The 26,722-nt window shown below is 38.2% G+C and overlaps 1 protein-coding gene across 26 annotated transcripts in view, besides 1 other annotated feature; it reads right to left on the bottom strand.

Moving 5' to 3' along the window:
- AUTS2 (activator of transcription and developmental regulator AUTS2) overlaps positions 1-26,722 on the bottom strand; it is a 1,195,032-nt gene that overhangs the window by 695,153 nt on the left and 473,157 nt on the right. The window lies entirely within an intron of this gene.
- Positions 25,742-26,243: an enhancer, noted in NCBI's record as "NANOG hESC enhancer chr7:69537097-69537598 (GRCh37/hg19 assembly coordinates)". NCBI's record gives its function as "activates a minimal SCP1, AML or CMV promoter by ChIP-STARR-seq in naive H9 embryonic stem cells {active_cell/tissue: H9 hESC(naive)}" and the evidence as "EXISTENCE:reporter gene assay evidence [ECO:0000049][PMID:30033119]".

The following is a 26,722-nucleotide window of genomic DNA, read 5'->3' as shown; positions in this document are numbered from 1 at the left end:
TTTGCTTTAACAAGTAAATTAACAAGTCCCTCATTCAGGCAAGTTTTATGGCTTCTTGCCACTTGGGGAAGGCCGTAAAAGTTTTATAGATAATCCAGAGCTACTGAGACTGCTCATAATAAATTGTCTGTTTCCTGTTATTTTATCAAACCACTGGGCTTCTAATGACTTAAAGTCACAGTTCTCTTATATTCAGGCTTTTTATGAGGCCATATTTATAAACTCCAAAGAATACCTTAAATTATACTGGGCCCCTGCTAATCATTACGAAGATTTTTTTTTCTTTTAATGGGAGCTTACCTTTAGCTCACACCCAGCTAATAAATGCTGCAAATGTGTTTTGGAGACAGCATGCTGATTCTACGTATTATTTAAGATGCTGCCTTACCCAGAGTTTCCATTAGCAAATGCTTTCAAATATCTGCAACCTCATCTGTTCTGTACAGACTCACCAACAGTTCTTCCCATTTGAGTGCCATGCTTTCTAGACTGCCGCACTTTATCCTACAAGGGAGCAGCCTGATAATTGCATGAAGCATGCATGTCAAGAGGCTGAGCTTCCAGTATGTGGACTAGAGTGTGACCTTGGATTAACATTAAATTTAGCTCCTAGTTACCAGCAAGCCATTCAGACATGAATCACAATTAAAGACAAGTACCATTCAAATTATTCACCCATTTTTGACTACTGATTATCAGCTAGGAATGGGGTTGACAATGTATAGAATACAGAGAATAAGATATTATGCCATTTACTATTAAGAACTGTACAGATATACTCAGTGTTAGAAATAAGTGACAAAGTAGGGAGAATGAAATATGCTCTCCAAACAATCTCTGATAATGTGGAATTAGTGGAAGTGCTAAGTGGCCCAGTATGCTTTGTGATCACCTCTATATTTTATACATATGCATACACACATGCACATGCAGACATCAAGAGGGATGCATTTTTTTCAAATTAGTCTATCTAGGGAGAGAACCTTAAGAAAATGTCACCCACCAGTAAGAGCAGAATGATCTATATAGGGCCTTTAAACAAAATGATTCAAAAGGTGAAGAGATTACATCTCCGTTCATGCAAATACAACATGCACTGCAGGATGCACACTGAGTTCTTGATTCATTCATACTGATTTTTCCCCACAGAAAATACAACTTGCAGATTAGTAACACCCAGTGTAATCTCATATAAAGGTTCATCATTTAAATAATGACTGTTCTTATATCATATTCATGAGTATTTGAACCATAGCACCTTGTCCAAAGCTGAAATGCATGAACCTCTTGGCCAAGGTGTCATTGAAAATGCATTCGTACTAATTCTTTTCAATTTCAGCCCTTTAGGGAAGGCACAAATAACACCAGGTAGAAGAAGCAAAAAGAGAACGTAAGATAGCAAAGCTTGGTGTAAATGCTGCCCAATATCACTTTTCAAGGATCATGCATGCATGCTGACACTGGCTATCCCACTTCTAGAATAACTTAATTTCTACCTTAATTTTGGCATTATATTCTAATTCTCTTGGAACACTTGCTAGAGAAAAGATATGATGATTTCTATATCGTACTTGAACTCAGCATTATCCTCCTTCTGAATTTTCGGAGGTTTAAGACAACACAGTTGGCTTCAATAAATTTTATTCTCTCTGTAAATCTGATGTAATAATAATGAAAATTATACAAACTCAAATGAGTATAGTCCTTTACACAGTATTTTCTTTTTCTTTTTTTTTCTTTTTTTTTTTTTTTTTAAGATGGAGTTTCACTCTTGTTGCCCAGGCTGGAGTGCAATGGCGCGATCTCGGCTCACCACAAACTCCACTTCCCAGGTTCAAGCGATTCTCCTACCTCAGCCTCCCTAGTTAGCTGGGATTACAGGCGCCCGCCACCATGCCCAGCTAATTTTTTGTATTTTTAGTAGAGATGGGGTTTCACTATGTTGGCGAGGCTGGTCTCCAACTCCTGACCTTAGGCGCTCCACCCACCTCAGCCTCCCAAAGTGCTGGGATTACAGACGTGAGCCACTGCGACCGGCTTTTTCAACAATTTTTTTATTCATGCATAATTGATATGCATAGTTTCAGGGTACATGTGATGATCTAATACATTCATATTATTTGTAAAAATTAAATCAGTGTACTTGAAATATCCATCCCTTTAATGAAGTGTTTTCAAATACACAATTCCATTCACTCTTTACAACCCCGTGTGAACTAGTACAACTATTCCCATTTTGCTGATGTGAAACTTTGTCTCAGAGAGGTTGACAAATCCCATTTCCCACAGCTGGAGAGAAGGGTAGGTCTTGAACTCAGAGTTGAGGAGATACCAGTGAAGAGGAAGTTATAACAATATCCTTAGTAGATACAATAGGGTTTATATACAAGTATATAACAGAATGCTCTTCTTGAATGCTACCTTGCTGTTCTTAAAACTGTGTACTAAATTAATACATAGAGGTGAAGTATAGTTCCTGTATGGATCAAACCCTTTCTTCAATACCATAACTAAACATGGCCAGTTTATTCCTCGTAAATGGCAAACCACTGATTTTAACAGAAATTAGGCAAGACGCTTTTCTTTAGACTCTATCACAGAGTCTACAGCATCTAGAAGCCCTCAACAAATTTTTATTGAATACAAAGGCAATATAAAAATTTTAAGTGTATAACTGTATTATTATTTGTTCTTGTCTGTCTCTCCAATAACCTATAAACTAAAGTAGAGCAGAGACTATGTATCTTTTTATTTTTTTACTGCTATAACCTCAGCACCTAGCATAATACCTGGCATACAGTAGGTACTCAATAAATATGTTAAGTGAATGTACATATTCATGAATAACAGAAGTGCCTTAATGCCCATTCATTACCACTCCTGAAAATGTCTCCAAAATAACAAGAGTTAGCCTCTCCTAATGGGTCAGAAGCATGATTCTGAATGTGAAGAAAAGGACCATCAGGCAGGCTCCAAGTAGTACACGTAGTTGTAAGACTTCTATGCGTGTATGAGAATGCACGTATTTCCAAACCTTAACCATGCAAATACTGCACACGCACACGTGAGCGCACGCACGCACACACACACACACACTCTTAATATGTGATCCAATCCTCTCAAGTTTATTAGTGATTGCTTTTCATTAATTGAAATCATTAAAAAATATCTGCTTGTCTGGAGCAGGCAGCTTGCCAAATGATGTTTCCACGTAAGTAAATGAGATCCTTCCTTGGCTGCACCTAAGTCCTCTAGAATTCAGGAGTTTTTCAGTTCACGTTTCAGGTTAATCTTTTCCTTTCTTTAAGAACAGAATATCCTCTTTGCAGATCTCCCTGCGGGCTTGGTATTTGCAACATCAAACAGAACACACAAACCATTGCACCCACTTCCAAAAGCCTATTATACTGTCAACTGGCTTCCTAACTGCAACCAGGGGAGAAGGCTTACAGACTCCTAAGCTTCTCCCACACCCCTGGAAAGTATCCATAATTTCTCTAAGCTACCACTGCATTTTGTTTCACTAAAGAACTCCTAATAAGACAGGCAACATTCCACGGAGAAAAAAAAGCAACTTGAACTCACGAACTATAAATCTCATCTCCCTTTTATTTCTTATTACCTCTCAGACTTTCAATTGTTGGCAGGGTCTGAGGATGGGGTACTGCCATGCAACCCTACCAATGAGCCATTTCCATACTGCTTTATGGATCATAATAAAATTCAGATGCACAAAAAAACAAATCCAGGGCAGGGCAAGAGCTGTAGCAGTATCTTATGATATTGCATGATTTATGTTTTACTACTCGCATTGGGATGCCTAAGAAGGGCTAGAGTGAAAAGGGAGAAGAAAACAGACACAGACCGGTTTTTAACTTTCAAATCAAACAAGTATGTTCTGTATGTTTCCTTTGCTTCTTTAGAATCAATCCAAAGCCATACAAGCCCAAGGGGAAACTGTGGCTGTCAGCCTGTAGCAGCAGGAACTTACTTCCTTAATTGTTAACAGAGTTCATGAATACCTGTCCCAGGACACTACTAATGGGTTCCATGTAGGCAAAGGTTTCTAAAGCATACAGCAAAATGCAACAAGCATGCAGGGCGCATACACAAATATATATAAATACATACATAATTCCCCCTAGATTAAACATAAAACCATTTATATTCTCTAGATGTCCACATTTTCCTTTTTGCTTCCTGCAAATTTTCGTAGTTGGTTATTATAGGGAAAATGGGAAAGTCCTCAAAGGACTATTCATTGAAGAGATGGAAATGATGGAGTGACAATGAAAGAAAAGGGCACAAAGAGAGTCAATACATGCTTTCCTAACAGATGAGCATCTGTGCATCTAAAGTGAGTCAAATCACAAAGAGATTCTCCAATTTGCTTTATCTGGCCCCTAAGTACCTCTTCCAGGAAGGCTTAGCTGGCCTGACATAGCTGTGAAGGGTTCAATACACACAAGGAGTAGTTATAACTTGAAAACACTAAATAAATTCTGGGTAAATTCTTCAAAGGTTATTGGGTTTAGATCCTTCACACAAGTTCTACATTCACACAGTGACATACTCTATAAACAGCTTACATGTTCCATGACACCTCTGTGTTAGCAAGGGTCATTTCTTTTTGATACAGAATCTCCTGGCCTTAAGCCCAGGCAGCCTAGCAGCTGAAAAGGGGTGACTCACTCAGTGTGAAATGCATTAGACACAGCTCACCTGTACATGTCCTTCGTGTCTCCTCATAATCTCCTTTCTCTCCACTTCTAAGTTAATCTTTCAACTTATAAATTGATAAGAAATGTATCCACTGTGGATAATTTCTTCCCTCTAGAGATGGCTTTTCTCTCATGCAAAGCCTGTCCATAAAAGTGAAGGAAGTCAGACAAGTGAATCATCCATCTTGTTTTTTAAAAATCCAACTGAAAATGTTGCCTAGGCCCATGGGTATTACTGAGCCAGGCAGAGATTACCACCCATAATTTTTTACTTTTGATTTTTATTTAACAACTCATTTGTATAACCACGATGAATGGAGGCAGCAGACCTGAAGAGATTTGCAGCTGAAGTCCTATCAAGTTGGAAGGTTATGTCAGCTGCCGAGTCTGGAAATGGAGCCCTGCACAGCAAGAAAACGATGAGAGATTGGTTACAGCCATAAGTAATTGATCTGTCTGAAAATACGGGCTACGAATCATGGGATTAATGCTGGTACTCCAGCTGGGCTGCATTGCTCATTTCCCTCTAGCTCTCTGACAACAAAGACATGCCTGTTTCTCCAGGGACAAGAAATTTTTATTAAAATCTTTATACAACGTAGCAGCAAAGACTCTGTAAAAGCATCCTAGAGATTTGGGGAGGAGGGGAGGTGCAGGCATCATAAGGACACCATCCTACAATTTTCGTTTGATCTGGTTTTCATTTCAAAGCAGTCACCAGCCTGCTTCCCATGGCCAAATGTACTTGCCCCTCAGCTCTGCCGACATGGAGAGGGGGCCCCGCGAGTGGTGCTCCTAGCTGAGATGTGGATGAATAAAGCGGTGGAGAGCTGCAGGCAGAAATAAAGTGGGAAGGCATCCAAAACCGCAGCTGTGCTGGCCCATTAAAAAGCTGAGACTCATTCTGCTGTTCGACCTCATGCTTATCACCACATAACTATTCATCAAAGAAATTTCAGTGCAATTAATTAAATTATTCCCATGTCTGTGCCACAGAGTCGTTATTCCAATATCAGCTTTCACTCACACTCTCTTAAGCTCATGTCTGCATGCCAAGTCACTACTCTGGGGTTGTCCAGTCTCAATAAAGCTGTGCTCCTCACCACTCACACAGGCTATCATTTCTCTTTTTTATTGCCATTTATTTTCCACTAGGATTTTGCTGCCAGTGTATTGGCAGGACTTCCAGTATATGGATGTAATGAAATCTACCACAGACACTTAACACGGGGTCAGGATAGAGCTCAGCTCATGTGAAGCAGTAATATAATAAACAAATGCTTTCAGAAGGAGGATTTTATCAGCTCAAAAACAGGACTTGGTATCCTCTGATACCAAGTGCAGAAAAAGTTGGAGTCATTTGAAAATTCCTGCGATAATTAAGTTTACGGCTAAAATATGCCTAACATGAGAAATCTGAGCTACAGCACAGATTCCTTTTCATCTGTCAAAGCTGGTTTATTAAAAAGGAAGGAATAAAAATGTACTGGTGAGATTATGTTTTTTAAATATAATCTTAGGAGTATTAAAATACTCCTAAGTATTAAAAATAATACTTAGGAGTCACAGACCTGTAACTGGCACACTAATATAATTTGGGGGATATGACGATTGCCTGTCAAACTTTGCTATAGCTACAAGAAAATGTAAATGAGATTAAGAGTATAATCCCCCCTACTTGATAGCTAGCAGGCAAATATTTAAGGCTCTTCTCTTTCCCTTGTATGTCACCACAGCAAATTACAGGATTGGAACAAAGTGAACACCTATCATCTTAGCACTAAATTTTATATTCCTACATGTTGGGTATAAATCCAACATTGGAAAGATGTAGACAGAACTTCAGGAATCTCCGTACTAACTCAGAAATGAAAAGTACGTGCTCAGATGATTACCACAGGACCCAGAAGGGCCACCATTTCAGGCTTATGAAGCACTTATCCTTCATCTGCCAAGAATCTCAGGAGGTAGGAAAGCCAAAAAGAAGAACAGTGACTGTAACAGCAGAGTGGTTTAGTACCTGGCTTCCTTGAAAACCTCAGCAATCCCAGAGTTTACAAGAGAAAACAGACAATGTTCTTTTCCAAGTGTCGAGACTTGATTCTGTCACTATAAACATCAGATTCCTGGTAGTAACTTTTATATGACCTATTAAAAAAAATTTATAGGACCTGGAGTGTATTTTGTAAATGGGTCCATTAGGTAAAGAAATTACTAGCTGAGGAGAATCAGAATAGTCCTATGAGGATAAAACATTTTCTAAATTTGATGAAAGCTATAAAACCACAAATCTAAAGGCTCAAAGAACCCTAAGCACAAGAAACATAAAGAAAAGTACACCAATGCAGATCATAAAAAAATTGCTCAATACTAGTGATAAAAGAAATTCTTAAGAGCATCCAGGGGAAAAATGACAGGTTATATACAGAGGTTAAAGATTAGAATGATACCTAATTTTCTTACTTAAAAAATGCAATTGCAAAGACTGTGAAACATTTTTACAGTACTGGGAGAAGGGAAAAGAAAGTATCAACCGCTAGTTCTATGCACAACTAACATGTCTTTTAAAAATTAAAGTAAAATGAAGATGTTTTCAGATATACAAAAGCTGAAAGAATTAATCACCAGTAGGCCTGTACTTCAAGAAACGTTAGGCCAGGTGTGGCAGTTCATGCCTGTAATCCCCAGCACTTTGGGAGGCAGAGGTGGGCAGATTACTTGAGGTCAGGAGTTCCAGACCAGCCTGGCCAACATGGTGAAACCCCATCTCTACTAAAAATACAAAAATTAGCCGGGCATGGTGGTGCACATCTGTAGTCCCAGCTGCTCAGGAGGCTGAGGCAGAAGAATTGCTTGAACCCAAGAGGCGAAGGCGGCAGTGAGCTGAGATCATGCCACTACACTCCAGTCTGGGTGACCGAGACTCCGCCTCAAAAAAAAAAAAAAAGACAGAAATCTTAAAGGATAACCTTTAGGAAGAGGGCAAATGGTATTACATAGAAATGCATCTATGTAAAGAAGAATGAAGAGCACCAGAAATTGTAGCACAGCTAGCAGCCTGGCCAATATGGTGAAATCCCATCTCTACTAAAAATACAAAATTTAGCTGGGCATGGTGGTGCGCACCTGTAGTCCCAGCCAGTCGGGAGGCTGAAGCAGAAGTATCGCTTGAACCCAGGAGGTGAAGATTGCAGTGAGCTGAGATTGTGCCACTGCACTCCAGCCTGGGTGACAGAGCAAGACTTCGTCTCAAGAAAAAAAAAAAATTTATATTATGTAAGTTTCTTCAAAGAACAATTAACTAATTAAATATCAATAACAATATAGTATAGACTTTAGAACATATATAAAAGTAGAATTGTGTGACAACAAGAGAGTTGAAACAAAAGTATACACTTGTAAGATTCTTATGGTATACATGAATGGGTAGTATATCACTTGAAGGTATAAGTTGAAGATATGGTATAACCCCAAAACCAACAATTAAAACCAAAAAACAAAGACCTACAGCTAATAAGCCAAGAAAGGAGATAAAATGGAATCATTAAAAATAATTGATTTCTATTTTATTTTATTATTATTTTTAAATTTATTTATTTATTTATTTATTTATTTATTTATTTGTTTTGAAACAGTCTCTCTGTCTTTCCCAGCTTGGAGTGCAATGGCACGATCCTGGCTCACTGCAACCTCCACCTCCTGGGCTCAAGCAATTCACCTGCCTCAGCCTCCCAAGCAGCTGGGACTACAGGCGCCTACCACCACATCCAGCTAATTTTTGTATTTTTAGTAGACGGGGTTTCGCCATGTTGGACAGGGTGGCCTTGAACTCCTGACCTCAAGTGATCCACCTGCCTCGGCCTCCCAAAGTGCTGGGATTACAGGCGTGAGACACTGCTCCCGGCCTTTAAAAATACTCAACTGATTTTTAAAAGGCACAAAATGTGGAAAAGTAAGTAAAGAATACAGAGGAACATAGGAAAAAATAAGATAAAATATATAAACATAACCATATCAAGAAAGTATATAAACAGTCTAAATATCCACAATTAAAAAGGCAAAAGATTGTCAGACACAATAAAAAGAATTATAAAGACCTAAATACCCCAAAACAAGTTCTCTTAAAAAAAATGGACTCTAAATATAAGGACACAAATAGGTTAAATGCAAAGGAATGAAAAAAGACACTATCAAAAGTGAGCTGCAATAGCTATATCAATAGCAGACAAAATATATTTCAGAACAAAGAATATTTTATAATAATAAAGTAGTCAATTCATGAAAAGAATACAACAATCTTAAATGTCCTAATAAAAAAGCTTCAAAATAAGTGAAGCAAAAACTGATAGAACTCAAAGGAGAAATAAAAAAAATCTATAACTATAGTTGGAGATTTCAATGCTCCATTGTTAATAATTGATAGAACAAATATTAGCTGGAGACTTCAATGCCCCTTTCTTAATAATTGAAAGAACAAATAAATAGACAATCGAGAAGGATATAAGACTTAAAAAATACTATTATGCATAATTGACATTTATAGAACATTCAGCCCAACGACAGCAGAATATACATTGTTTTCAAGCACACATGGAATATTTACAAAGACAGACCATAGTCTGAGTCACAAAGCAAGTCTCAGTAAACTTAAAGAAAAATTAGAAAGTATTTTGATATGGATAAAAATGAGAACACAGCATATCAAAATGTGTGGGATGAACCTAAAATAGTATAATACTTGAAGGAGAAATAGCATTAAACTGTATTAGAAAGCAAGATGGGTCTCGGACAGGCGCGGTGGCTCACACCTGGCCAACATTGTGAAACCCCGTCTCTACTAAAAATACAAAAAATTAGCTGGGCATGGTGGTAAGCGCCTGTAATCTCAGCTACTTGGGAGGCTGAGGCAGGAGAATCGCTTGAACCTGGGAGGCGGAGGTTGCAGTCAGCCGAGATCGCGCCATTGCACGCCAGCCTGGGGGACAAGAGCAAGACTTTGTCTTTAAAACAAAACAAAACAAAACAAACAAACAAACAAACAAACAAGGTGGGTCTCAGATCAATGCCTTCAGCTTCCATCATAAGAAACTAAAAAAAAAAAAAAAGAGAGCAAAAGTAAGTAGAATACAGGAAATAACAACGATAAGAGTAGAAACCAAATAAAATAGAAAACTGAAAGGCAATAAAGAATATGAATGAAACCTGTGGCCAGGCACGGTGGCTCATGCCTGTAATCCCAGCACTTTGGGAGGCTGAGGCGGGAAGATCACGAGGTCAGGAAATCGAGACGATCCTGGCTAACATGGTGAAACCCCATCTCTACTAAAAATACAAAAACAAATTTAGCCAGGCGTGGTGGTGGGTGCCTGGAGTCCCAGCTACTTGGGAGGCTGAGGCAGGAGAATGGTGTGAACCCAGGAGGTGGAACTTGCAGTGATCTGAGATCACGCCACTGCACTCCAGCCTGGGCGACAGAGCAAGACTCCATCTCAAAAACAAACAAACAAAAATATGAATGAAACCAAAAGTTAGTTCTTTGAGAAGACCGATAAAACTTACAGACCTCTAGCCACACTGACCTGGAAAAAAAAAAAAAAGACATGAATTGTCACTATCAAGAATAAGAAAGGTTACAACAGCACAGATTTTCAAAATATTAAAGAAATAATAAATCTCAGAAAAGATACAAACTACCAAATGTTACTTAAGAAAAAATAGAAAACCTGAAAAGCCCTTTGTCAATTAAACAAATTGAATTTGGAGTTTAAAATTTCCTATAAAGAAAACTCCAGGCCCAAGGGCTTCGCTGATAAATCCTACCAAACATTTAAGGAAACAATAATATAAATTCTATACAAACTGCTTCAGAAAATTGGAGAGAAGGGAATACTTCCCAATATATTCTATAATGTCAGAATTATCCTGATATAGAAACCAAAGACAATGAAAGAAAATGACAGAATAGGCTGTGCGCAGGGACTCACACCTGTAAGCCCAGCACTTTGGGAGGCCGAGGTGGGTAGATCACAAGATCAGGAGATCGAGAGCATCCTGGCTAACATGGTAAAACCCCATCTCTACTAAAAACACAAAAAATTAGCCAGGCGTGGTGGTGGGCACCTGTAATCCCAGCTACTCAGGAGGCTAAGGCAGGAGAATTGTTTGAACCTGGGAGGTGGAGGTTGCAGTGAGCCGAGATCACGCCATTGCACTCCAGACTGGGCTACAAGAGTGAGACTCTGTCTCAAAAAAAAAAAAAAGAAAAAGAAAATGACAGGCTAATTAAGTTCAACTATATATATACGAATAATTTTTAATATACTTTTATAAAAATATATCATGTTTTTATAAAAAAAATTTGAAAATCAGTTAAATTTGCCATATTAAACTAAAAAATAAAAAAATGAGTATTTCAATGGATTAATAAATAGCATTTGATACAAAACCAACATCCATTCCTGATTAAAACTTTCAGCAAATGTGAAATAGAAAGGGACTTCTTTAAACTGATAAAGGTATGTGCAGAAAACCTACAGCTAACATCATAAATAATGGAAGATCACCAAATGCTTCCCCATAATATGAGTTAAAATGAAAACGCATGTACACTCTCACCACTTCCATTCAACATTATACTAGAGATTGCAGCCAGTGCAATAATATAAGAAAAGAAATGAAAGCATCCAGATTAAAAAAAAAAAAGGAAAATTATATTTACTCTTCTTTGACATTATCAACTATATATACAATACAAATAAATTTTAAAAAGAGCCATTAACACTAATAAGTGAGTTTACCAATATTACAGAATATATGATAAATATACAAAAGTTAACTGTACATTTACATTGCAGCAAGGAATAATTAGAAATTAAAATTTATAAAACAATGCCATTTACAACAGCTTCAAAAATACATAATGATAAATCTGACAAAGGTTGTGAAATATTTGTAACCTGAAAACTACAAAACTTTTTTTTTTTTTTTTTTTTGAGATGGAGTCTCACTCAGCTGCCCAGGCTGGAGTCCAGTGGCGCGATCTCAGCTCACTGCAACCATCGTTTCCCAGGTTCAAGCAATTCTCCCGTCTCAGCCTCCCAAGTAGCTGGGATTACAGGCACCCGCCATTATAGCCAGCTAATTTTTGTATTTTAGTAGAGGCTGGGTTTCAGCATGTTGGCCAGGCTGGTCTTGAACTCCTGACCTCAGGTGATCCACCTGCCTCAGCCTCCCAAAGTGCTAGGATTACAGGCGTGAGCCATTGTGCCCGGCCACTGCAGAACTTTTCTGAGAGAAGTTAAAGAAAATCTAAAGAAATAAAGAAACACACCTTGTTTATGAGTTAAAAGACTCAATACTGCTAAGATATCAATTTTTTGAAATTGGTCTATAGATTCAATACAATATGAATAAAAATCCCAGCAGGTCTTTTTGAAGAAATTTACATTTACAAAGTGATTCTAAAATTCATACACAAATGCAAAGGGCCAAGAATAGCCAAAACAACTTTGAAAAGGAAAAAGTAAGTTGGAAGACTAACATTACCTGATTTTAATAGATTATAAAACTACAATAATCAAGACGTGGTATTGGTGTCAAGATAGGTCAAGTTTAGAAATTTTCTTTTTCTGAGAAGATTCAGACAGTAAATATTTTAGGCTTTGCAGTACACATGTTTTCTGTCACATTTCCTTTAATTTTTTTTTTTATACAACCCTTAAGAAATAGAAAAAAGCATTCTTATCTAACAGATGATACAAAGACAGGCTGTGAGCTTTTCTTGGCCCATGGGCCTTGGGTTGGCAACCTCAAGACAGACAAATTGATTAGTAAAAAGGAAGAAAATTAGGCCTACATGTAAATAAACAACTGATTTTTGACAAGGATGCAAAGGTAATTCACTGAAGAAAGGACAGTCATTTTAAGAAATGATGCTGGAACAACTGTATAGAAGTATGTAAAAATAGGCTAGGCATGTTGGCTCATGCCTGTAATCCCAGCTCTTTGGGAGGGCGAGGCAGGTGGATCACCTGAGGTCAGGAGTTCAAGATCAGCCTGGCCAACATGGTGAAACCCTGTCTCTACTAAAAAATACAAAAATTAGCTGGGTGTGGTGGCGGGCACCTGTAATTCCAGCTACTCAGGAGGCTGAGGCAGGGATAATTGCTTGAACACAGAGGCGGAGGTTGCAGTGAGCCAAGATCGTGCCACTGCACTCCAGCCTGCGCAACAGAGCGAGACTCCATCTCAAAAAAAAAAAAAAGTATGCAAAAATAAATGAATTCACTATATGTCTCATTTCATATACAAAAATTAACTCAAAATGGATCACAGACATAAATGTAAAAGTTAAAACTGTAACCCTTCCAGAGCAAGGCATAAGGGAAAACCCTGTATCCTTGGTATGTAAATAATTTCTTAGATATGACACCAAAAGGATGACCCATAAAAAGAAGTTGATAGATTATATTCACCACAATTTGAAACCTTTGCTTTGGGAGACTGAGGCAGGAGGATTGATTGAGCTCAGAAGTTCGAGAACAGCCACGGCAACACGGTGAAACCCTATCTCTACAAAAAAGTTTTTAAAAAATTAGCTGGGTAGGGTAGTTCGTGCCTGTAATCCTAGGTAGTCAGGAGGCCAAGGTGGGATGATGGCTGAAGCCCAGGAGTTCAAGGTTACGGTGAGCTATAACCATGCCACTGCACTCCAGCCTGGGTGACAGAGCAAGATCCTATCTCTAAAAATTAAATAAAAATTAAAAAACAACCTTGAAACCTCTTATCTTGTAAGACGCTGTTAAGAGAATAAAAAGACAAACAACACACTGGAAGCAAATATTTGTATACCATATATCCGATAAAGGTCTTGTATACAGAATAAAGAACTCGACACTCAAGAAAAAAATGTAATTTTTAAAAATTGGCAAAAGATATAAACAGAATTCACCAAAAAAGATATACAGATGAAAAATCACACATGAAAAGGTGCTCAACATGATTATTCATTAGGGAAATGCAATTCAAGACCACAATGAGATAGCACTATATACCTATTAGGATGGCAAAATGGAAAAGACTGCCCATAACAAGTATTGGCAAGGATATGGAAACAATGGGACTCTTACACACTGCTGGTGAGCATATAAAATGGTACAACCACTTTGATTATTGTTTGGCAGTTTCTTAGAACATTTAGCATATACCTAGTACATTATCCAGCCATTCCACTCTTATTTGTCCAAGAGAATGTACATTGTACTCTTACATAAATGTTCATAGCTGCATTATACATAATAACAAAAACTGAAAACAGTCCAATGTATAAACACACACTATGGTATATCCATAAATTGAGTAATATTGTGAAACATTATATACAGCACAATGTGGATAAGCATAATATGAGTGAAAGAAGCCAGAACCCCCCCTCCTCCAAAAAAAAGGACAAACAGTATGTGCTATGTAATGCCATTTATATGCAATTCTAGAAAAATGTATACAACTTTATAGTGACAAAAAACAGTTAATTTGTTTTTGTTTTTTGTTTTTTTTGTTTGTTTGTTTTGTTTTTTTGCCAGGGAATAAGCTGGGGTGGAGATGGAAGGGAGGTGGGGGAGAAAGGAATTACAAAGAGAAAGGAGGAAACTTTTGGGGGTGATGGATATATTCATTTTTTTTTCTTTGAGATGGAATCTCGCTCTATCACCCAAGCTAAAATACAGTGTCATGATCAAGGCTTACTGCAGTCTTGACCTCTTGGGCTCAAGCAATCCTCCCACCTCAGCCTCCTGAGTAGCTGGGACTACAGATACGAACCAACATACCCAGCTAATTTTTAATTTTTTTGTAGTGAGAGAGTTTTCCAGTGTTGCCCAGGCTCATCTTGAACTTCTGGGCTCAAGTGATTCTGCTTCCTCAGCCTTCCAAAATGCTGGGATTACAGGTGTAAGCCATCACACCTAGCCTGTTCATTACCTTGATTGTGTTGGTTCTATAGGTGTATGCATGTCAAAACTTATCAAGTTGTATAGTTTAAATATGATCAGTTCATTATATGCCAATTATATCTCAATAAAGTTGTTACAAACAAAAGGAAAATACAATCGTCCTAAGATTATACCAAATCACTGTATACAAAGAAGTTTATTTTAGTGTGTGTGTGCATACAACTAAATGTATATGCTATATGGGTGCAATTTTTTAAAGACAAATTTGAAAGTTTTAGAAATTAGTACTAATCTTCTGGCTAAAGTAGATAGAGGCAACTTGTCCTCGCTGCCTTATCCCTGCAAAATACACACTATTTGCCGCCTCCACCATGATCATGGAAGCTCCTATTGATGGTTTTCTAACAGGAGAAGGTGCCTACACAGCACGGAAGCAGTGAGAGGAAACTCGTGGGTTCCCTCAGGACTTCCTCTGTGTATGGGCAGATGACAACCTGGAAGTCTTAGCCATATAAAATCATCCACAAAGTATCAAGAAAAACAATCATCAGGGAAAGAGAGGGCCCTGAGCACAATCATGAGGGGAGGAATCATTATTAAAATAATCATCATTGATTTCACTAACCAGAAGTAAGCGAGTTTATGAAATTTGAAGAAGGAAGGTCAACAGGGTCAGAAAATTGAAAGCTCCACATTGTAAAAGAATATTCCTGCTTTGTTTACTAATGAATCCCTAGCACCAAGTCACACAGTAGGTACTGAATAAAATGACTGTTGACTGGATAGATGGGAAATAAGAAAAATCACTTAATTTTATGACTTAGAAATTTACTGGTGACCTTATATACAAAATGCTTTAGTAGAGAAGACCAAGTCAGTACAAAACAGTTAACGGCTGAATAGGAGGCAAGAAGGTACTCTGTTGACAAAAAGAAATTTACTGGTGACCTTACATAGAAAATGCTTTACTAGAGAAGACCAAGTCAGTCTGCAGCTAGTTAAGGGCTACATAAAAGGCGAGGAGATATTCTGTTAACAGAAAGTTCAAGAAATACAAGACTAAAAGGCCAGGTTTCTCATTCAAAGTTTCCAACTAGGATTAAAGTCTTCAGACCAACCATATACTGTTCTTGAACTTCAGACACGGTTCAGACATTTGGAACAATTTTAGTCCTTTGGGAATTCCATCATTAAAACCAGAACTAAAGTACTAAAAGTCCAGCTGTATCTATAAATATTTAAAAAACATATGCACAAGTAAAACCTCCCCTCTTTCCTCTAGGGAGACATGTGATCTTAGCCTGACTCCTGCTTTGAATTAGAAATGCTCTCCTCTCCCAAACTTAGGATGATTTCGAAAAAGTTTTTAAGATGAATTTCCTCACAAGAGATTACAATAAATCATCCATATACCATGAAATTTAATTTGGAAGTACCAGGTTTTAGCAAATCAACATTTTAGGCACGTAGTCAACACAGGATTGAAAAGTCATTTTATTTCCATAGTTACATTCTTAGTCATTCTTCGGATTAGTAAAACTATTTTAGGAATGGATCTTAGAGGTAGGGAACCATAACGTTCATAATATGTCCCCTTTCAAACACACACAGAGAAAACACACAACACAGAACCAGATGAGCTAAATTTTAAACACACACACAGGCACACACACTCTTCACAGAAAAATCTAATTTAAACACACACACAGGCGCGCGCACACACACACACACACACACACACACACACTCTTCACAGAAAAATCTACCGTTTTTTCTTTCCTAAAAGTTAATGTTAACTGGCATCAACTGGATTTTTCATTCTTCACATTTGCCATTCCACTAACAAAATTCTGATTTCCATATGCTGAAAGTAACCTTCAAGTTTATTAGATCACCTTATAATTCTACCTATAAACTTCTGCAAATACATTTTGTTTCTAGTTAAAGTAGGTTAAACAAAACATTCCTCCACACTGAGTCTAACTGATGAACGGAAATACAACTTCTTGTTAACCAAAAATCTCACACAAAAATATAGTTTTGCATGAGCCATCTTATTTAAGTAGAAAGAGGCAAAAGACCATTTTGTTCTCAGTTTCTTTTTTTTCCTTCTTTCTTTTTTGAGATGGAGTCTTGCTCTGTTGCCCAGACTGGAGTATACTGGCATGATCTTGGCTCACTACAACCTCCATCTCCCGGGTTCAAGCGATTCTCCTGACTCAGCCTCCTGAGCAGCTGGGATTACAGGCACCCACCACCATATCCAGCTGATTTTTTTTTTTTTTTTTTTTTTTTATAGAGACGGGGTTTCGCCATGTTGGCTAGGCTGGTCTCAAACTCCTGACCTCAAGTAATCCGCCCTTCCTGGACTCCCAAAGTGCTGGGATTACAGGCATGACCAGCGCGTCCAGCTCATTTTGTTCTGAGTTTCTAATCCCAGTTTTAAAAAATTCACTTTCCTCGTATTTCAAGATTTTTCATTTATAATAATAACGTTTCTAGGACACCAAATTTCTCCCATTATCGCAACACTTCTCAGAGCAATGCAAAATAAAGGCTAGCCTCCACCCTACCACCACTCTGTACTCCTCATGGATTAAGCTCTGAGAGAAAAACACAAATAAATAAATCCTCACGCATTAGCTGCTTGACATAAATGCTTTGGATAACTAAATTGCCTGCTTTGTGTCCAGAGATCCTCTTCACTCAATTATCTTTCAATGTGTTGGGTTCCAAAGCCTTGCTGAGGTCCTAATGATATTTATCACCTCTTTCCAACGCCCTCTAATGTTCTTTTAAATAGAGTAGGCAGGCTTTAAGATTTCAAACACTTTGTCCTTTAAGTGTTCGACAGTTGGTGGCATTTAAAATCCTGACTTCATATTCCATAATCAGAAAGGTTTCCTTCCTATAGTGCATTTGAGCCTTTTGCTATGATGAAGGCAAAAATCTCACCATTTACACAAGATCATCACTACCTTAAGACACAGAGCTACATTCTCATTTGGATTGTAAACAGTAGTGTGTTGGTAATACTTAACAACCAGCTCCTTGGGAAAAGAAGTATGTATGTATAGATGTACACCTATTTATTATAAAATTTACTGATATAAATCATGTATAGCAAGCAATTTACAAATAATAACAAAGTACATGCTAAACTTTACTGTGAATTCCAACCAAATGGGAAAATTAACATTCACAGAATGCTTCTGTTAAAATATGTGCAATTCTTATATCTACAGCCAACCTATGGTTGTACCTGAAGAATGAGTGTAGTTTTGTAAAACCTGGTTGATGTTTTTGAACCAGTAAAATTAAAGTGGAACACCTAAGACATGAATGATATAAACAGTTTCCTTCCTCGAGGACATGAATAACTTCTTTGTTGAGTTGGAAACAGTTTCAAAATACAAGAAGATATTCTCTTAATTGTTTTGCTATCCACAATGTAATGGATGCAAATACAACATACTTTTAAATTTAATCTGTATTAATAACATTTCCTCCATCATTCTTTTAAGTGTAGACAATCAACAAAACAAATGACCAAATTTGGATTTGTACAGTGCTATGGTTTGAATGTGTCCCCCCAAAAGCATGTGTTGCAAACTTAACCCCAAGTGCAACAGTGTTGGGAGATGGAACATAATGGGAAATGTTTAGGTCATGAGGGCTCTACCCTCATGAATGGATTAATGCTGATTATAAAAGAGCTTCAAACTCTCTTGAGCATGTTCTCTCACCATGTGATGTCTTCTGCCACACTGTGATACAGCAAGAAGGTCCTCACCAGATATGGCCCCTTGATCTTGAACTTCCCAGTCTCCAGAACCATCTGCCAAATAAACTTCTATTGCTTATAAATTACTCAGTTTGCGGTGTTCTGTTACAGCAGAACAAAACAGAATAAGACATCCTGTTTACCAATTTCTGTGGTGTAAATACTTCCACCATGGCTACTAAAGTGATGTCATTGAATACAGAGTTAGGAAAAGAGGCTCAATAACACATCATTTTGTAGTATTTCTACCATATACTAGATGTAAATAACCTCAAGGTCATGGATATTAGTAAAATGTAGCAGCTAATAAGGAAGTGATGAATTTTGAATACTGATTACAATTAAGTAAATTATATTAAAAGCACAGGTAAGTTTACATAACTTTTTTTTATTTTTTGAGATGGAGTTTCTGTCTGTTGCCCAGACTGGAGTGCAGTGGTGCCATCTCAGCTCACTGTAACCTCCATCTCCTGGGTTTAAGTAATTCTCCTGTCTCAGCCTCCCAAGCAGTTGGGATTACAGGAGCCTGCCACCATACCCATCTAATTATTTTTTTTAATATAACTTAACTTCTAATAAAGGTTTTACTAAAAAACCAGCTCACAAAATTCTTGAAAACTTAATTGGTTCTTATGAATTGTTAACGAGCCAGTTCCAGCAGAGCAAAGTACAATCCTTTTGTCACAAAAGTGAGGTTCCTGCCTCACTGTCATTGGCAGATGGTATTTGGGTTCTTCCTACTAGTGTGTAAGGGGTACATAAAGATACGCAGTCCACAAGGTCACTTATGACTGGGCTATCCTTCCCTTGATGGTTATCAATCTGCAGCAGGGCTGGCAAACAGAACTCTTCTCCAGGCAAAGCTAACCCTGGCACCATTATTCCATGTTTTCTACCAATCGAGAAAAGAAGCTGAGGGAGAAAAAAGCAAAGATATAGTCTTGACATTAACAGTTATTTTACTTCTAATACAGATGTGTCTGAAAGCTCTCTTAGCTGCTATCCACAGAATGCAATGAAAACATGAGAGCAGACGAGAATTTAAACAAAGCAACACACAAGTTATATGGCACTAACAAAGTCAAAATTCTTCAATACCAAAGTCTTCTCAGTATGAAACAGGATGCTTCTCTCATTCTCTACTTTCTCCACCATTTCCTTTCTTCCTTCCCCTCTCCCCCACATTCTCCTTCCTTTCTCCCTTCAGGGGTTGGGGGGATTGATAGTGAAGGACATTCAATTACTATACCTTTGCCCTTCTTTTATTCTATTAAAACATTATCCTAATAAAACACAGCAAGAAAGTGGCACAGAAAATGAAGACATGAGGTAGGTAGAGCATGGTAGGTACAAAAGAGAAAGAAAATACTGCCTTGATGAACAAAGAAACTTTACTTCATTAGGATGAAACAGAAGTACAGTAGTACCCCTTATCTGTGGTTTCAGTCACCCATGAGCAACCACAGTCCAAAAATATTACATGGAAAACTCCAGAAATAAACAATTCGTCAATACATTTTAAATTAGGCAGTATTTTGAGTTGCAAGATGAAATTCTCACGTTGTCCTGATCTGTCCACCCAGGATGAGAATCATCTCTTTGTCCAGCATGGTGTATATGCTACCTGCCTGTTAGTCACTTAGTAGCTGTCTTGGTTATCATATTAAAAAAAAACAGTATGGAAAGGGTTTGGTACTGTCCACAGTTTCAGGTATCCACTGGGTGTCTTGGAACATACCAACATGGATAAAAGGGACTACTGTAAGGACTAAACCAGAGTCCTACTAACAAAAACAAACATTCACTGACTACCTACCATATGCCTGACCCTGAGTACAGGCCATGGAGAATATGGTGATAAATAGGCCAGGATACCTGACCACTTGCCCATGTACCAAACATCAAAGAATGAGACCGGCATATCCACTGTCAATCTGAATATTAAATCTTCCAGAATTATGATGACAGCAAATGACTACTTCAGGGTGGTAGAATTCAGAAGACTGGAAAATATATTCCAGACATCCCAGGGTCTGGAGTTTAATTTAGCACGGAGGTATGCACAGGAGGCAGTGAAAAAGAAAGGGAGCGATGTATTGCCATCCAGAAGGGGTAAAACAATCCTGGTCAGAGAGTGCAGCCTGATGGCTTCCACTCTTGGTGAAGTGTTGGCATTTGTGTGTGGTGTACCACAGACAGAAACAAAGGCAGAGAGCCGTTCCATCTACATCACCATTCTACTAGGAATCCCCAGGTATAATTTCTGGTCAACTTCCAAATGTTTTCATTATGGAACCAGGATCAGTAAAAGAACAATATTTAGATGTGTCTCAGCTGTTCTGTAATTCACTTTAGGTCAACAAACACTTTGCTCCTCCTATGTACAGGGCATTTGTCAAGCTTTGTGAGATTACAAAAGTGAACGTGACAGGGTCTCTAGCCAATCACATAAAGATGACAGGTACAGATACATATATGGAACACTGTGTAAAGTCAGCATTTCAACCATATAAACAAGGCAGGAGACTCAAAACATCTGGGTTTGGACTTTGCCAACTACTGGGACGTAGGGCGCAGCACATTATCCCTCGGCCTACCTTTTACGCACTCTCAGAATTGTTAGTGACCATAAGAACCATCCCATCCAATAATGAGTCAAAGCTAATATTCTCTCACAACATCCCCACAAGGTCAGCAACAGATGTCTACAATATTGCCAGTGACTTAAACCCTCTAAATAATGCCCATCCCTCTAATGGACAGCTCAAATTGTTAGAAAGTTCCTATTTACATATTGAATCTACCTGTATCTTCTACCCACTGCTCTCCCCTGTGTCCTCCAGGACCCCCCAGAATAAGTCTAATTCCTCTTCTACATGACAGCCCTTTAAATAATTGAAGACAGTTATCATATATCCCCCTAGGCTATATATCTACACTTCTTTCAACCATTTCTAATAGGACATGATTCTGAGTCCCTTCAACCACCTGGATAACTTTCTCTGCAAGCACTCTAATTGAAATACTCTCTTAGCTTTGTTCAAACAGGCTGCTATTCAACTATGTTTTCACAATTTGTATTTGTACTGTCAAGATACATTCTTAGCTCCAGACACAGGGTTTCCCATTTATCTGTTTTCAACATTTAAGCCTGAAAGATTTCAGCTGCTATCCTAAGGCCTTTTGGGATCTTACTCCTATCACCCAAAGTGTAAGTGATCTCTCTCTTCATCAGGCTATCCACACATTTGATCCACAAGTCAATTCCAACCTCAGTCAAGTCACTAATAAAAATATTGACATAATTGAATCAAGAGCACACAGCCTGTGGCCTGCAACCACAGACCACTCTTCATGTTTCATAATTATTAAACCTGTTATAATTCTACCTAACTACAGTAAGTCCTCACTTAGCACAGTCAATAGGTTCTTGGAAACTGCAACTTTAAATTAAATGATTTACATCCTTGGATAACGTCTTTTTGTTCAACATCTTTTCACTACAATGTTGGTGAGAAAAAAAGATTAGTTTCATTATATATCATTTTGCTTAAGGTAGCAGTGTCCAAGAAATGACTGACAACATTAAGTGAGAACTTACTGTAAACTATTATTAACTTGAGCCTTTTCCATGTCCTTTATGAAGATTTTAATGCGATGCTTTTTTTTATGCCAACTCTTTATTAGCAAAGAAAATAAAACGTCTTTACGCCAAAAAAAGAGAAAGTATTTCCCATCAGAAAGAAGAATAGAATATATCAGGTACACATTATCTAAGATATTCTTCTAAAGCAGGGGTTGGTAAACGATGGCCAATTGGCCAAATCAGCCTGCTGCCTGTTTTTATAAATTAAGTTATTTTATTAGAACACATCCACATCCATCTGTTTACATACTGCCTATGTGGCTGCTTTCCTGCTACAGTGGCAGAGTTGAGTAGCTGTACCAGAGACTGTATGGCCCAAAAAACCTAAAATATTTACTATCTGGCTATGTATAGAAAAAGTTTGGCAATCTCTGCTGCAGAAGAAGGAATATAGATGGCATAACATTTTAAGTGAACCTCCACAGGTTCCCAGTGATGACTACTTCTTTTATTAAACTCTCAGAAAGCATTCATTAATAATATTTTCTAGAATCTTTTCTGAGCTGACATCAAGCTAATTGGTCTACAGTTTCTACAATTCCCCTTCTCCATTATGAAAATCAGAAGTATTCAGACCTTTTGATTATTTGTACATTGAAGATACTAAAAAGATAATGCCTTTTAGCCATGTGTATTTGTACTGTCAAGGTATATTTTTAGCTCTAGACACAGGGTTTCATATCTCTTTTATTATTTGTACATTAAGGATACTGAATAGATAATGCCTTTTAGTAATGAATCTACAGTATATTTTAACGTATTTGTAGTTTATGTTTTCATAAAATACATGTAGTTCATGTATTTATAAAGCACACTCAATATTGAGTGCCTTTAGGGGCATCAACAGCAGGTTAGCAGAGAAATTAGAGAAAGCTGAAACATAATCAGGGGTACAGAGGCCAACTCTGCACTGGGACATCCTTCCCACGGAGTCTAAAATGAAAAATCTAAATGAGTGGGCTGAACTTGAGGGAGACACTGATTCACTCTCCAATGGATCCAATATTGTTATAGGGGAGACAAGTAGTCAACAGTAGTTTCTGAGCTATGTTGAGACTTGTTGCCAATGGAAATGCAATCTTTTGATGTCCAGTGGGAGGGGAATTGTTCTGGATGGAGCCAGCTCCTCTAAGCAGAAGCTGAAAGCAAAATACAGGTTTATTCCCTTGGGAGAGAGATGAGCAAGGGTAAGGTGTCATCACTTCAAGGCATCCAAGGTAGAAATCTGAATTATCTAATGACTAGACACAAATGGGAATGATTTGGTAGAAAGCTCAGTAATGACCTTAAAGTACATGAAATACTGAGCTCAAAAGAGGAGGTAAATTCCAGATGTCACCAAATAAGCAAATTTCTAATACCTGCCAAGATTGGTTCAAATTTGGGGATTGGTTACACCAAAACATACAGGATAGTATGCATGTATTCCCTCCTACTTAAGGCAGGTCATGGCCTCTGAGCCAGGTACCTCCACAGCAAAAGGTCTTGATTTACTTCCGTGTGCTGTACAATAATATCATTTTCTACATGTGCCATGATGAGACAGGGTTGGGAAGCACTGGATTCAACCAAACCTGAAGATGACAGGACTTCAATCTTAGTAGCTAGAAGACCGGACTAGACAGGGTATAATGGAGTGGAAAAGGGATTTTGGAATAAATGGGATAACTTGAGTAAGCTACAACTAAACTGCAAGGACACTAATCCTTAAACAGGGTTTTTAAGGAGAGGGATAAAGAGGCTCCCACATGAAAGAAATGGTCCAAAATAAAAAGAGTGAGACTCAACAATCATTTTTATGTGGCCAGTGTCAACTAAGAGCCCCATAAAATTAATGAGGAGTATAACAAACACCAAAGCAGTTACGTGGGATCCAGTCTCACCCAGACAAAAAAGATAACACCCAAGGGAAAGACATGGTCTATATAATGAAAAGTGAAGGAAAACTTACAGATATCGAAAAGTTTCTAGCCAGATGAACAGAAATGCCATAACGGTTTTTGTAACCACCACCCGTTACTTCTTTCCAGGAGACCAACAAACTGCAAAAGTCAGCTAAACCATAATCAATCTACATATTTTGTAAAGATGCATAATACATTCAGTTGACAAACAATTCTGCCAAGTAGCTCTTCTACATGTTGATCATGTCAACAAAATTAATTTGACATTTACAGCTATTTTGAGAATAAAATGCAGTTGCTTAAATTATTCTGTGGAAGCAACATGAGACAGAATTATTCAGTTGACAAAATCTAATTAGGTGTAAATTATTTCAGGTCATATAAATTATAAAACCTTTCACAGATAAGTATTTTAATTCAAAGTGGCTCAAAGTGCTATAGAATATTAATAGGTCCACATTCGTTTGCAATACTTCCACATTTCTGTCTCCAGTAGTAGCACATATTTCCCCAGTATTGGCCTAGATGGTAATTCTCATTCTGCCTTTGTGGGCCCTTAGTTGTATAAGGAGGAAGGAAGCAAAGGAGGGCATTTCTATGTTAGAAACTTTACACAACTCATATTTTTTATTGAGAAATAATCCATATACCACATAATTCACTTTTTTTGGTAAACAATATTACCTTCCATTCGATAAATGGAGAAACAAAGGCTCAGAGAGATTAAGTAATCTGCCAATAATACATAACTCATCTGTGGCAAAATGTTGGAATATAAATGCAAAGGCCATGTCCACTACTCAAGGCTGACCCATCCCATTTTTTTTTTTTTTTTTTTGAGATGAGGTCTCACTTTGTCACCCAGGCTGGAGTGCAGTGGTGTGATCTCAGCTCACTGCAGCCTCCACCTCCTGGGTTCAAGTAATTCTCCTGCCACAGCCCCCCGAGTAGCTGGGATTACAGGTGTGCGCCATCATGCCCAGCTAATTCCTGTATTTTTAGTAGAGACGGGGTTTCACCATGTTGGTCAGGCTGGTCTCGAACTCCTGACCTCAGGTGATCTGCCCACCTCGGCTTCCCAAAGTGCTGGGATTACAGGCATGAGCCATTGCACCTGGCCTACCAGCCTCTTAAGAAGCTCTCCTCTCCTCTGTTTCTGTTCATCTGGCTAGAACCTTTTGGGCAGCCTAAAGCATTGCAAAGGAAGAGGAAGTGAAGGGGTGACCAGTACAAGACTACAGAAAAAAAAAAGGAGAGGAGAAAGGAGGGGAGGAGAGGGGAGGGGAAGGGAGGGGAGGAGAGGGGAGGGGAAGGGAGGGGAGGGGAGGGGAGAGGGAGAAAGCAAGAAAGCTGGCCAGCCTACCTAGAGGCTGAAATAGACATATGATCTTTGCTTATATCTGATTTACTAGAGGACTAGAAATTTTAGTGAAAATATTGAATGAAACTCTAACATTTAAATCACTTGTGATTAGAACTTACTCTTCTTTGAAATGGGGGTAATGATATTTGTCTTTCTCATCCTCAAAGAGACAATGGAGATAACAAACACGATATTTTTTTAAATGAAAGGTACACAGAAAATAGAAATAAAAAGAATGCTTCATAAAGCAAATGACAGCCATGCAGAAACGCTCATTACACAACAGTGTCCAACAGGAGGCCAACCTATGTTAGGAATGAAAATGTCATTAATGGTGGTGATTCGAACCTGTGCATAAATCAGGCAGTGTCTAGGAAAGATAGAATCCTCTCTACTGTTTTTTTAGAATCATTCCTGTTTTGCACTAGTGCCATTATCTCTCTGATGTCAGCACATTACTTTCAGCTGAACCTCGGGACTATGTAAGGTCAAAGGCTTGAACCAAGCCTGGCTACCAGGAAATGGAAAACGAGAGAAACCCATCTGTCATGAAGTGGCAGTTCTTATTCTACTAGAGGACAACAGCTGTGAATGGCCTACACATCAAGTTCAAGTACTGTATATATATCCACAGGCACATTCCAAACAATGTGGTCAGGCACAAGCTGTCCTAAAAGGAGAGAATAACTCAGGCCTCATGCTAGGCCTGCTAAGCTTTCTCTAATCCACTCTGATTTTTACCCAGAAAAAAACAATACTGCCATGATCAGCTATAATAAGAAAGGAGGGGCTGGCAGGGATCACGGAGGGAAGGTAAGATAGACAGGAAAAGAAGAAAAGAAAAATTAAAAAGGGTGAGAAGAAAGCAAGCAAGAAAAATCATTTGTAACCGTAAAATCATGTCCTCGCTTTTGTCAGTGTTCTCTCCCAATTCTATAAGAGTTAAAGGCCGCCAAGTAATAGGGCCTGCAGAGTTTTCCCTTGGGCCGCAGCAAGGCCAGTAACCCTGCTATTAGAGACCTGCCAAGCTTTGTCAATGCAATCTGCTGAATGCCTTGAGTGACAAGCGATCAATATTCTCCACTCTCATGGGTCATCACAGGTGACACAGGACTAAGTAATAAAACAGCCCTGGCTGCCTCCTCTAACTTAAATGCTTCCCCAGCCACAATATTTCTTTTTTGTCTAAACGCCTCTAGCTAAATTTCTCATAGATCGAACCATCTGATGGGGATAGAGATTCTGAAGAATTGCAATGTGTCTGAATTGATGCTAGCCAGTGAAAGCTCAGTAGACTGGAGAAATAGGTTCAAATAAATCGAAAATGACTAGCTACAAAGTTGTAATCTGCCAG

This window comes from Homo sapiens, chromosome 7, assembly GCF_000001405.40.
Source record: "Homo sapiens chromosome 7, GRCh38.p14 Primary Assembly".
Lineage (NCBI taxonomy): Eukaryota > Metazoa > Chordata > Mammalia > Primates > Hominidae > Homo > Homo sapiens.
The sequence above is the reverse complement of the archived record's forward strand: the minus strand, read 5'-3'. Positions and strand labels throughout refer to the sequence as shown.